At 41.1% G+C, this 14,131-nt stretch overlaps 1 annotated feature.

Moving 5' to 3' along the window:
- Positions 1,894-3,093: an enhancer, noted in NCBI's record as "CDK7 strongly-dependent group 2 enhancer chr11:110703043-110704242 (GRCh37/hg19 assembly coordinates)". NCBI's record gives its function as "activates an origin of replication core promoter dependent on BRD2, BRD4, P300/CBP, MED14 and CDK7 cofactors, with strong dependence on CDK7, by STARR-seq in HCT116 cells {active_cell/tissue: HCT116}" and the evidence as "EXISTENCE:reporter gene assay evidence [ECO:0000049][PMID:35650434]".

Below are 14,131 nucleotides of genomic sequence, written 5' to 3' on the forward strand. Positions count from 1 at the left end.
GAGTATGCAGTTAGAGTTGGAGACAGAGCAGGGCGTTACAGGTAGCTTTGCCTGCTGTGAGAGGAGGCACAGTGTGATAAGAAGGCAGGCTCTGAATTGCATTCCTGCATTTGCATCCTGGCTGTCACCTCCTGGGGTGAATTACTTAACTTCTTTGGACCTCTGTTTCCTCATCTGTAAAGTGGGGATAGTAATATTATAATACCTTATACACTGATGGAGGGGATGAATGAGTTGACGCGTGGAAAGCACTCAGAACACGGCCTGGTGCATATAGAGCACATATGTATTAGTCCGACGGAGAGAAAAATGGGTGTTATGGAAAGCATGGGAGCAGAGCATTTTGTCACATGGGAGTTGGAGAGGCCTCTCTCCCAGAAAATGACATCTCAATAGAGCGCCAAATATGAGTAGGGATTAGCGGGTGGGTGAGGCATTGGAGCCTTGGGAAAGAGGGGGTCGGCGTGTGCAGTGAGCAAGGCAGAAGTGATGTCAGCAGACGTTCCCTCAAATAATTTAGTGTTCTCATGTTGCCTGATTCATTTGGCAGGAAAAACAGGTTCACAAGTTTGCTGCCTTCACCAGATGACAGATGATGGTTTCTCCAACACCTCCTCTGTGAAATAGTCCCTGCCTTCTTGGGTTAGCTCTTCTCTTTGCTGTATCTGCAAACCCCTTAATAACAGAGTCCCAGGACACTGCAAGTGTTAACCTGTCAGTCTCCCCGACCAGGCTGTCAGCTCCAGGAGAGCTGGCACTGTTTCTTTTACACATATCCTGGTGTTTCCTGACGTCTAGAACAAGATCTGGCTTACCTTGGGTGCCCAGGAAAAATGTATTAAATAAACATCACAGCCTTTTTGTGACAGAACAGAGACTCACTTCACAGTACCATTTCTAATCTTGTATTCTTTCATCAGAATTCAACATCAGAATAATCTCAATGTATCCATTTCCAAATGTTCTATCCTTTTCAAATAGAACATTTAATTTCTGTCTTCCTTCAGGTGCCAAAGTGTGGGTATGATTTTTCCCTCCTAAATCAAGTAGCTAGTATTTTGCTGCAATGAGGTAAACATTACAAGAGAAAGACAAATTAACAAAATATATTGAATTTGAATGAGCCTCAAATTTCTGAGAAGCTTGGCATTCATGACGATTCTCTTGCACACTATAGAGCAACAATACAAAAGTAAACCTCTCATTGCTAACTTCAACCCAAAAGTCAGAATGCTTTGTTCAGCCTTCCTTAGGTTGTCTTAGTTAATTCTCCTTCATGCATTTTTCAAGGGCCTGTTCAAGAAGCCCATGAACGACTCACTCATGGATATTCTTCTTGGCCTTTCTCTTTCCTCTCTTTTCTTGAGGCTAGAGGTTGGGATTTTAAACCTGCATAGCACTGCTAGCCAAGGAACATTTTTCTCCTCACTCAGAATCACTCATCACTTTTGCATAGTTACCCAAAAGACAAAAGTTTAGGAACATCTCCTATATGTAATTGCAAAGACCATTTCTATATCATAAATACCCGATGCTATGAAATGGGGGTGAGGCACATATTTGGCTAGGTGACTTCCTGCCCACACACTGCAACCAGCAGGGGAGAAGACCCTCTAAGATCCTTGTATGGGAGGGTTAGAGATGGAGACCTTTTGTTGTCATTGTACATGAGGGGGATGCCTCAGGCCTGCCAGGGTTATGGCCCCAAAGGAAGATATAAGAATTATTGATTCATTTATTTATTTAACAGAGATGTATTGAGTGCCCTGTCTGTGCTGGGCACTGTGTGCTTGGCACTGAGGATATAGCACAAACAAGATGGACAAGGACTCTGTACTTGTGGGGCTCGCATTATCATGGGAGAGAGACAGACATTAAACACATATGGAGATAAACAAATAAGATAATTCCAGATAGTGACAACTGCTCTGAAGCACATAATTCGGGGAAATAGCACAGAGAGTGATCAGGTCCAAGAGGCACTTTAGCTAGGGTGGTTGGGGAAAGCCTCTCTGTGGAAGTGACATTTCAGCTGAGAGTCAATGTTGAGAAGCATTCCGCCAGATGAAGACCTGGGTGGGGAGGAGAATATTCTAGGCAGAACTTAGTGACAGAACAGGACTAGCTATATCTATGGCTTCTGTCTTCCTGCAAGACATAACGATTACACCAGAAAAAATCACAACTTGAGCATTTCCAGATTACTTAGGGCCTCTATGTGATGCCACTCAGAAGACATCATGTACACTCTGATGTTCTGTTCTTTTGCTGTGGGTGATGGAGCTGATGCTCTAAGACAGGAGTGGCTGCTTTGTCGTGGGGTCAGGGTGGGGTTAGAAAGAAGGATGCTGTGGCTGGAGTGGAACAAACAGGGATGGTGGTTTGGTTTGATTGCTGTAGTTAGGACCTAACAACAACACAATAAAAATTGCTATTAATCATTACCATGCTGATCCTCCAAAAGCATTATCTTGTTTGTGGAAGGTATTTGCTATTATGTCCTCTTATGTCTCCTTTTATAGACGAGGAAACGGAAGCTTTACAGTAACAAGATAAGAACTAGAGTTTAGAGAGCAAAAGTGATCAGACCATGAAGAAACTATTGACAAAGTTATAGAAACAGGCAGAAAGAGTCCTGACTTGCCCTTTCCATTCGGAGTTTCTGAAGTTTCTTTTCTTCTCTGAGAATGGCTTTCACTTAAGCTAATCACGTTAGCCTTGATGCATCAGAGTGAGTCATTGTGAATAATATTTCCCGACATTTGACTTAATGGTACTGGCAGCATCACACAAAACATTTTTACCCTCTTTGAATTCTGTTAGGTAAGGTGATACTGACATTCATTAAACACACTTCACACTCAACTAGGAAACTATGCTCAGAAAGAATATGGAGTTCCCTATATGCATATGTAATTCTGTATAGTGAAATTCACAGAATATCACTTAAGTAAAAGCCACACACAGATTGGAAAGAACCCCCATCTGACGGATGAAAGAGGTGATTATTTTCTGTCTCATTTGGTGATTCATTCTTAAAGATTATATAGTACCTTATCTCTAAAGCCATGGTTTTCTTCAGCCCCCAAGCTTTCTTTTATACTTACAGAGAGCTTTGATTAGAGAAAGGACCACGTTATTCTTTCTCTAGAGCATGTGGACTACACACCAAGTCCTAACCTCAAGGCAGAAGAATCCAGGGGGCTCTGGAGGGTCCAAAAGCAACAAAACTCCAAGAAGCTGCCTTAATGAAACATGGCAATTACCCTTCTATATGAAACTTCTGATTGAAGAAAACGATTTCAGGATACTAAAAGGCAGGTCAAACTCTGCACTTGACTAGGAGAGTAGAGGCATTCTGCCAGTGGTCCTCTTTCCACAACAAAGAGGAAAGTGAACTTCAAAGAACTTGGGTCTGTGTGCAATAACTTTATCAGGAAAAAATGCCATAGGATGTGCATCTTCTCTTCCTACATTCATGATCACCAATGATGCACATTTTAATTGGGGGTCCTGCTTATATAAACTGCCAGAGCTACAGAATGCTAAAGTACAGAAATGAAAATGGAATTAAATCCCATTAAAAGACACATGTAAAATTTAACAAGTCTAATTCTACATCAAATTAAAAAGCTTATTTTAATTCAAAATAGCTATCATTTCTTATATGGTTAAATTTATTTATCTACAAAATAGTTTCTTGCTTTTTAACACTGATTGATGTGAAATAATTTTACACAGTGCATTTTACCCAAGTCCCCAAGAATACCTCATATGTAACAGAAAATTCTCAAGAAAAGCAAGGTTAAAATGAGTCCCAGTGCTGAAGTGACATGCTTTCTGAAATCACAAAACCAAACACATGGTCTGGACATAAGTTACATTTATATTTACGTAAGTTAACTCATTTATTTTTATTATTTATTTATTTATTTGAGACAGGGCTTCTCTCTGTCACCCAGCCTGGAGTGCAGTGGTGCGATCTCAGCTCACTGCAACCTTCACCTCCCGGGTTCAGGTGATTCTTGCTCCTCAGCCTCCTGTGTAGCTAGGATTACAGTCATGAACCACCATACCCACCTAATTTTTGTACTTTCAGTAGAGACAGGGTTTTGCTATGTTGGCCAGGCCGGTCTCGAACTCCTGGCCTCAAGTGATCCACCTGCATTGACCTCCCAAAGTGCTGGGATTACAGGCATGAGCCACCATGCCCGGCCTCTCATTTAGTTTTTATGGTTTCCCTATGCCACGATTGTTAAAGATTGTTAACTTTGTTTTATGGATGAGAACTCAGAGGCCCAGGGAGATCAAGTAATTTGCCCAAGGTAGTGCAGCCAGTAAGTAGAGCCAGGGTTTGAAGGGAGCCAGTCCGCTTTCAGAACCTGACCTGGTAGCCACTACAGTAAGTCACTTCTCAGTGCCACATTTTCTCTGATTTACCACTAAAATATTTGAAATCATGCCTCTTCCAAATATCCAGAGCATATTGCTATGGTACTGAAATCATCACTTTTAGGAGTCTATTATTTCTATCTTTAGTTTAAAAAAAACCCCACAAAAGTAATATGCATTCTATAGAAAAATTCAAATAATGTCGATGTGTTAAAAATAGCAAAAAGTCATAGCCTGATCTTTAAAGGACTCCTATTTTACAGGTGATGGATTTGATTTTTAGAAAATCGATGTCGTTATTTATTCCGGATGATTATCGCATAACCTTGTTCCCCTTCATCTGTTCTTTTCCACCTACCCTCCACCACTATTTCTTACTGGCTGGACTGCTTTTTGTAGACAGCCCAAGACTTCACTCCTTGCCGATACAGTGACAAGATATGCTCTGCCCTCTTACTCACTCTTATCTAGAAGGTTCCTGAAAACGGAAGACCACGTGGGAGTTCTGTAAACTATGTATGTTTCTTCACTATGCACAACAGGAAACAAGCTGAGTGCACATGTGATAAGATGGTAATCAAAAAATATCAAACAAATATCTAAGTAGAGGGAGGTTTTGATATCTTAGAACCAGAAGTCATCTCGTAGATAATCTAACCCAAACCATTACTTTACTGATGACAAAATGGAGACCCAAAGAAATGCAGAGGAAAGAAAACATACTTTGGCATCCAAAAAAGAAAAGTTTGAATCCTGACTCTGCAACTAATTGGCTGTTCAATCTTGTCAATGTCCCTAACCTCTTTGAACCTCAATTTATTTTTCTATGAAACTTCGAAGAGGGTTACCACTTTACTCCACTGCCACCACCATCACTCTTTCTAATAGAACACACCATGTTCCTCTGACTGGTTTCTGAATAGCCTCTTGACTTCTTACCACTTGCAATCTGTTCTTAGCCAAAGTGGACTTTAAAAAAACATAAATCAGATCATGTCATACTTAAAGTTCTTCAAAGACTTTTCGTTGGCTCCAGAATCCTGCAAAGCCTCACATGCACTGATATTGTTTAGCTGTGTCCCCACTCAAATCTCATCTTGAATTGTAATCCCCATCATCCCCATGCATTATGGGAGGGACCTAGTAGGAGGTAATTGAATCATGGGGGCAGTTTCCCCCATGCTGTTCTTGTGATAGTGAGTGAGTTCTCACAAGATATGATGTTTTTATAAGCTTCTGGCATTTCCCCTGCTGGCACTCATCCTCTCTCCTGCTACCCTGTGAAGAGGTGACTTCTGCCATGATTGTAAGTTTCCTGAGGTCTCCCAAGCCATGTGGAACTATGAGTCAATTAAACCTCTTTTCTTTATAAGTTAGCCAGTCTCGGGTGTTTATTCATAGCAGCATGAGAATGGACTAATACATGCACTGACCCAGCCTTCCTGCCTCCCTTCCCTTCTTGGCTTTCCTCAGCTCTCCTCTGGCCACACAGGCCTCCTTTCTTTCCTGGAACATACAGAGCTCTTTCTGGCTTGAAAGCCTTTCTGTTAGCTGTTCCACTGTCTGGGATTCTTTCTGTCTTGTTCTTCCATGGATAGCTCCATCTCATGCTTCAGGGCTCAAGTAAACCCCCATTGATGCCTCTGACCATTCCATCTGAAAAGACCCATCTATTGAACTTTGCGTATCATATAACTTTGTATATTTCTTTCACAGCACTTTTCATCGTCTATAATTATCTTTTTTATATTAATAGATAAAATATGTTTAACCTTAATTATCTGTGTCTCTTCTTACAACACAACATCCTTGTGGACAGGACCCTTATTTGACCAGAACAGCATCTGATGCACAGGAAACAACTTCTCAAGTGATTGATATTTTTTATTAGTAACAATAATAGACATCTAAACACTTTAAGTGAAATCACAGGAAACAACCCCTTGCTCCAGTGGGACTTCCTTTGGGCTAGAAGAGTCAACCTTTAGGCTTTTGCTATCTCCCGGGGACTAGGCAAGTCAGGGAGGGGGAAATGCTGGGCTGGGATCAGAAGATTGAAGAAGGTGTGCTAGAAGAATTCTGGTGCACACAGCCAAGGCCAAGGGGTCAGCATTAGTAATGGCAAGTAAGGCCAGGGTCTGGAGTCTCTGAATTCTGCTCAAACCCTTTCCCTGTCCATCCCCACCATGACTATACCCCTGGGAGCTGGATGTCCAGAAAGCACTCTAGGACATAAAATGCTTAGCGTTACTATCTGGGACTCTTAGTTACCAGGCACTTTTGACTTTGGTTACAGGGAGGCCCAAATTGCAATCTTCATCCTCTAGCATTTTGGCGACCCAGTCACAAGTCCTTGCCTAAGCCTAAATGTTTCCTCCTTGGAGGTGGTACAAGAAGATAATCAGGGCAAGCAAAGAAGAAATGCTCAGTCCATAACAAAGGCCGGCAATTCCAGTACAGCATGGAGGCCTCAGAGTTTCCTATCAGCAAGAGGGCAGCCTTGAGGTTCCACACCTTGAGGTTTCACATGACCCTCAAGGGTCAAAGAGTTATGATTCCACCTGGGGGGCCTTTTGGAGCCCTTAGGAGAAGTTTTATCCAATATAATCATGCAGTAAGGGAACTAGGGACAAGGTAATTCCTCAGAGCAGCACTTTTATGTTTCATCAAGTCTGAGATAGAAGGAGGGGGTGAATATTTAATATCTTAGGTAAATTTCCAACATGGAAAGAAGGAATGTACTAATTGTATCTGCCAAAAGCCTGGGAAGCTTGGGTTAGACTTGATTACCAAGTTCTCCTTGTCAAAGGCTGAGAAGGCCAGAAGGAGTTCTGTGCTTCCTTTATCTCTCTCCAGGCTCCAGCTTGGATGGTGGCCAACATTTTATTCGGAGTGAGAGTGAGGGGGAGGTACATGGGCTTTCTTAAATACAGGATATATAATTCATAGGCAAATGCCCACTCTCTCTCTCGCTTCCTCTTCCACTCCAAAAGTGCTTTCCCCAGCTGTCCTCTCTTTCTGCGCTTATATATCTTCTGACTTTTGCATTCTGCACATCAAATCCATCTCACTAGTCTTGACAGCTGAACTTGCTTCCTGTGCTGCTTCTGATCACTATCAGTAAAGAGGTTGTGGGTTTAGCACAGGAGCTTATCCTGGGTCCCATATTTATTATTTCTGATAAGCAGCTCAGAGGGCAAAGGCTTTTTTCCTCCCTCCTAGGCCACCTCCCTTTATCATCATTATCTCCATCTTATTATTTTTTTATTTTACGTTACGTTCTGGGATACATGTGCAGAACGTGCAGGTTTGTTACATAGCTATACATGTGCCATGGTGGTTTACTGCACCTATCAACCCATCATTTAGGTTTTAAGCCCCCCATGCATTAGGTATTTGTCCTAATGTTCTCCTTCTCCTTACCCCCCACCTCCCAACAGGCCCCAGTGTGTGATGTTCCCCTCTCTGTGTCCATATGTCTCCATCTTATTTAATCAGGTACATTTTGGGCAGAGAGTGAAAGAAGAGATATTTTGCTATGGAGCATGAGTTACCACATTGTACTCTCAATTACAGGCAAGGTCAATGCTAAGACAGTGCAGCCTCCAAAGGTACTACTTGGAGATGACCTGGACTTAGACCTTCCTGCATCCATTAGGATCATGACTGAACTGAGCACTTGGATTTGAGACTTTCAGGACTGAGGTGGTGATGCGGTGATGGGGGAAAAGTGGGGTGGAGGGACTAGGTCAGCCTTTGGTACTAAACAGGTAAAAGAAGGTCCTGGGCACCCATTTGAATTCCTTGGCCTATCTCTCTGCTCCCTTCTCTCTGTTCTTTTAGAGGCAAATTACCCTCTGGCAGGGCTTTGGTACTTCTCCAGTTAGATGTAGAAAGCCATCTCAAAGCCTTATTTTCTCTGAACTCCTCAGGTTTAGCCAGAGCATGCCTAGCACCATTACTCAAGAGAACATTCTCCTCACACCGTATCTTGCTTCCAAGGGCCCTTTTATCTTCTTTGATCTTCCTCTTCTGAATCCTGCTGGCAAACTGCTTGCAGGTCCATCCTGAGCATTGATTTGACCTCATGAGAAAAGTTTGTTTGAATCCCCAGTTCCCGCTTTGACTCTCTCTGATATGGTTTGGCTCTTTGTCCCCACCCAAATCTTATCTTGAATTGTAATCTCCATAATCCCCACTTGTTGAGGAGGGACCTGATGGGAGGTAATTGGATCATGGGGACAGTTTCCCCCCATGCTGTTCTTGTGATAGTGAGTGAGTTCTCATGAGATCTGATGCTTTTATAAGTGTTTGACAGTTCCTCCTACACACACACACTCTCTCTCCTGCCACCTTGTGAAGACGTGCTTTCTTCCCCTTCTGCCATGATTGTGAGTTTCCTGAGGCCTCCCCAGCCATATGGAACTGTGAATCAATTAAACCTCTTTCCTTTATAAATTACCCAGTCTCAGATATTTCTTTACAGTTGTGTGAAAATGGACTAATACACTTTCTATGTCAGAAAAGATCTCATGTGGAATAAAATCACACAGAATAAACCCGAAACAATTACAGTCTAGTTTCTTCCTAATTCTAGCCTACCCCTTCCAGATGAATGTGGGAATTTTAATTCTTCAAACATCCCAGGACATGTGCACATGTGGTTTTCTCAGCCTAAAAGGCTCTTGTTCACACTCTTCACATAAGAGACTACTCAGAGGCCACTTTCTCATAAAAGCCTTCACTGAGTGCCAGTCTTAAATGGTCTCTGGTGTTATAGTCCTTCTTTCCCGCCCCCACCCAAAGTACTTCTCTTACTGGATACTTTTAAATATGCAGTGTTTCTACTTATTTAATGTCTGTCTTTCCCCTCTGGGCTATATCCTATAGGAGGGCAAGAACCACGCATGGGCTGTGCATCTCTATCTATAGAGTGCCTCATGCAGAATTCTACAGCATACTAGGTACTCAATAAACATGGGAAAGCAATATGGCAGACTAGTTAAGCATATGAACCCTGGAATCAGATTGCTTAGGTTAGAATCCTGCTTTTATAACTCACTGTGTAACCTAGGGCAAATTAATTAACCAATCCTTGCTTCAATTGTGTCATTTATACAATGGGGACAGTGATACTTAACTCATAGTGCTACTGTGAGTAGACACAAAATGTTTAGCAGAATGCCTAGCAATTGGGATGTCCCCATTCAAGGTCTTGCAAGGGCAATGAGAAATTGGTTTAGCATACAAAGAGTAAAGATTGCTTAGATATGGAACCTTCCCAAGCATGGAGTGTTGGTAAAGGACGTAACTTCCTAGAGAACAATGGAGCAGAGAGATTAATGTATTTTATCTCATGCCTTATACGTGTGTCAGGTGCTATGCTGGGTAGTACGTGCTAGAAGTTACACAGTGATTTGGCAGCAGTGGGGGCAGGAGATCAGGTGATTCAGATGTAGGTAGCAAGGCCATCAAACTTTGTGAAACACTAGTTTAGACCATGGGTTTCAACATTTGCTCTGCCCCAGCACACCAGCATCATTATCACACTTTCCATCAGTAACAGTGGCTGACTATGAAGGAATGTTCCTGATGGTGGGGCAGGCAGTGCTGAGGGGAAAAGGGACATGTGTGTTTGCCAAAGTCTCATCTTCAGGGAGACTGATGTGGCCTCTGCAGGAGAGGGAGCTGGCTCCCATCCTATTGAGCATCTTTGCAAATAGGTAAAGGAAAGCAGATACATAGATTCACCTACAGTGATGATAATGGAACATGATAATACCAAATAGACACACACAGGCTCCAATGGCAACACTAGGGATGGAGCACCTAACAGTATCTCGGGACCAGAAATGGGAGGTGCTTAGGGAAGAATTCGTCCATGGCTTCATTGCTTATTGGAATCCAGGGGAGAGTAGGCCAGGTGGAGACGGGGAAGGTAGATGCAGGTAGATGGAACTAAGCTTTCAGAAGTATGGAGGCATGTTGGCCTGGCTGAAGGGTAGACTATCAGGCAAATTCTTCTGCTATAAACCTGGCTCTGTCGTCTTCTATCTAGATCACCATGAATATGTTTGTGATGATCTGCCAGTGACCTTCCACTACGATGTAGTGAGCTTGGAATTGTTCTTGACTCTCTTCTCTCCATTGAAATGCATCTACTTTGATTTTCATTCTCAGGGCCTTAGTTGTTGCTAGAGGGCAACTTATGCTAATGCACTATTGAAATATCTAGCCAACATAAAATAATTCAGATTTTTATCCTCCCCTGACACCCCATGGAACTTTCAAGCCTTTAGAAGACCCAAAGGTGAAACACTAAGGACAGGGACTCCATTGATCATGTCACACTGGTAAGAGGATAGTTCTTAACAGACAGGCTTATTTTTGCTTCTCAAGTGACGGTAGCAAGCCCTCAATAAGAGTTATAATGACAGCTAACACTTTTTGAGCACTAAGTGCTATGACCTCTAGGAGCTGCAATGACTTTTTTGAATTAGGTGTCTTATTCATATTTTACCTATAATGAAACATAGGCTTAGAGGAGTTAACTTGCACAGCTAATAAGTGGCCAAGCCAGGCTTTCAATCAGGTCTATTTGTCTCTGGATTGGTGGGGTTCTGCAGAGGACATCAGCAATACTTCCTCCCAGGCTGGACCGTAAGTGCTCAAGTACTTGTTGCTCCTGATTTAAGTAAATGTTTCTGGTTAACAGCAAATTTAATTTTAGTAACATCCTCAATTTTTGATTGAGGGAGCTAGGGGCTTCATCTCAAAGCCAATCTAATTTCCCACATCTAAAACCCAAACAAGCTTGACATTCTTAGACCACATAAGGATATCTTGGATGTGCACTGAGTGTTTCCATGTAACTTAATGTCAACTTCCAATTTCAGAAGAAATTATCCCTGTACAAGCTCAGATGAGAATTCCCTTGCCTTTTTAGAAAGAACACTTAGATTGGCCTTAGGTCACGTTGGATTATATCAGTTCTCAGCTACTCAAACTTAACACTCTAATACAATCCCTGCAGTCTTGTTCCATTTCTTTTCACCTAGACAGAGTTGCCTGTAGCTCCCTGACACTTATATCCCCAAGATGAAAAATATGACAAGTAAAAAACCACTCTGTGGTTTATCAGTTTTTTTCCCAAGCTATTGCTCAGCAAAGTTCACATTCTACAAATCTCATTTCCTCACTAGCTTTTTTTTTTCATGACAATATTTTTTAATGGGGGGATAGAATCATTTAAAAAATTATGAAATGCAAAGGACCTCTCTATTATTTTTGCAACTTCCTGTGACTCTAATAATTTCAAAACAAATTTTTTTAAAAATTGTGAAATACACACCCAGAAGAGAATATTAAAAGAACATGCGTGGCTTAAAGTGAACACAAATGTGCTTGCCAAACTGGTTAAAAAAAATATGACATCCCATTGCACTGGAAACCTACTCCACACCGTGCCATGTGCCCCTTACCGGTCATATTTCCTTGGCTTTCCCCAGAGGTACCATCTTCCTGACTTTTATGTTTACTGTATTCTTATTTTTATTTATTGACTTAGCAAAAATATTTGAATCACTAAACTATTTTGCATGTTTACTAGTTCATATCAATGGAATTATTCTGCATTGTATGAATTTTTCAATGATTTTTAAATCTAACATTGTATTCCTGAGATTCATCTATCTTATTGATGTAACTTATTTATCTTCAGTGCTGTGTAGTATTCCAGTGTAATAAACCACAGTTTATTTGTCCAGTCTCTTGATGATTGGCATTTGGGTTGTTCTCAGTTCAGGGAACAATGGTGCTTTAAATATTCCTGCCCATGTTTCTGAATGTACATAGGCAAGAGTTTCTGTGGAGTATATAACCAGGAGTAGAATTAATGGATTATAACATAAACACATATTCAACTTTACCACGTGATAGTAGAAATTCAAAGTTTGTACCAATTTACTCTCCCACCAATAGTGTATGAGAATCTCCATTGTTCTACATCTTTACCAAGACTTTATATTGTCAGACTTATTTTTTCTTCTATATAATGAATATGTAATGTTTTTTATATTTTTTATCATATACTTTCAGCTTTTTTTAACTTTTATTTAAGTTTAGGGGTATATGTACAGACGTGCAGGTTTGTTACATAGGTAAATGTATGTCATGGGGGTTGGTTGTACAGATTATTTCATCACCCAGGTACTAAGCCTGGTACCAATTAGATATTTTTCCTGATCCTCTTCCTCCTCCCACCCTCCACCTTCTGATAGGCCTCAGTGTGTGTTATTTCCCTGTATCTCCCCATGTGTTCTCATCATTTAGCTCCTACTTATAAGTGAGAACATGTGGTATTTGGTTTTCTGTTCCTGTGTTAGTTTGCTAAGGATAATGGCCTCCAGCTCTATCCATGTCCCTGCAAAGGACATGATCTCATCCTTTTTTATGGCTGCATAGTATTCCATGGTGTGTATGTACCACATTTTTTAAATCCAGTCTACCATTGATGGGCATTTGGGTTTATTCCATGTCTTCGCTATTGTGAATAGTGCATTCAGCTTGTTTTTAACAAAATTGAGCACCTTTTCAATAATTTATTGGTTGTTTGAATTTTTCTTCTATGAAGTGTCTGCTCAAGTCCTTTGTCCCTTTTTTGTATTGGGTTTTTGGCCCTTTCTTATTGATTTGAAGGATTTATTTTATTTTATTTTATTTATTTTTTTGAGACAGAGTCTTGCTCTGTCACCCAGGCTGGAGTACAATGGCACGATCTTGGCTCACTGCAAGCCCCACCTCCCAGGTTCACGCCATTCTCCTGCCTCAGCCTCCTGAGTAGCTGGGACTACAGGCGCCCGCCACCACGCCTGGCTAATTTTTTTTGTATTTTTAGTAGAGACAGGGTTTCACCGTGTTAGCCAGGATGGTCTCGACTTCCTGACCTCATGATCCGCCTGCCTCGGCCTCCCAAAGTGCTGGGACTACAGGCGTGAGCCACCGCAACTGGCCTAGGATTTATTTTATTATTTCTCAGATTTGAGTACATTCTTGTATGCATTGCAGATCTTCTCTCAGTTTTTGGTTTACCTTTCACTCTCTTTATGGTATCCTCTCAAAAATAGATGATCTTAATTTTAAGTTGTTAAATTTCCTAATCTTATCCTATTTGTGTTTTCTCTTATTTAAAAAATCCTTCCAACCTGAAGTCATGAAAATATTTCTCTGTATTATTTTCTGAAAAGTTTGTAGTTTTGGTTTTTATGGGTATATCTTTAATCCACTTGGAATTGATTTTTGTGGATGATAGGATCTAATTTTCCTTTTCTCCTGTGGGTAACCAAAGCTGAAAAGTCTGTCCTGTCCTCAGTACTTTGACCTCTGTCATATGTTAAGTGTACATATATATGTGAGTCTGATTCTGGGCTCTCCATTGCATTCCATCACTCTGTCTATGCCCGCTCTAATTCAGCACAGTCTTAAATATGGTAACTATAATATGCTTTGATATCTGGAATAACGAGTTTCCCATCTTAATCTTTGAATGACTTGTCTTTCTTGGCCTTTTGAACTATTAGAACCAGATCATCAAGTTCTATTTAAAGTATTTTGGAAGAATTGGTGTGTTTTTTATTACTGAGTTTTGTAATCCTTGAGTTTGGTCTATCTCTCATTTATTTGTGGATTCTTTAATTTCTATAACAGACATGACAGGCCAGGTTATGCTGTGGTTACTGAC

This window comes from Homo sapiens, chromosome 11 (genome assembly GCF_000001405.40).
Source record: "Homo sapiens chromosome 11, GRCh38.p14 Primary Assembly".
NCBI classification, from domain to species: domain Eukaryota; kingdom Metazoa; phylum Chordata; class Mammalia; order Primates; family Hominidae; genus Homo; species Homo sapiens.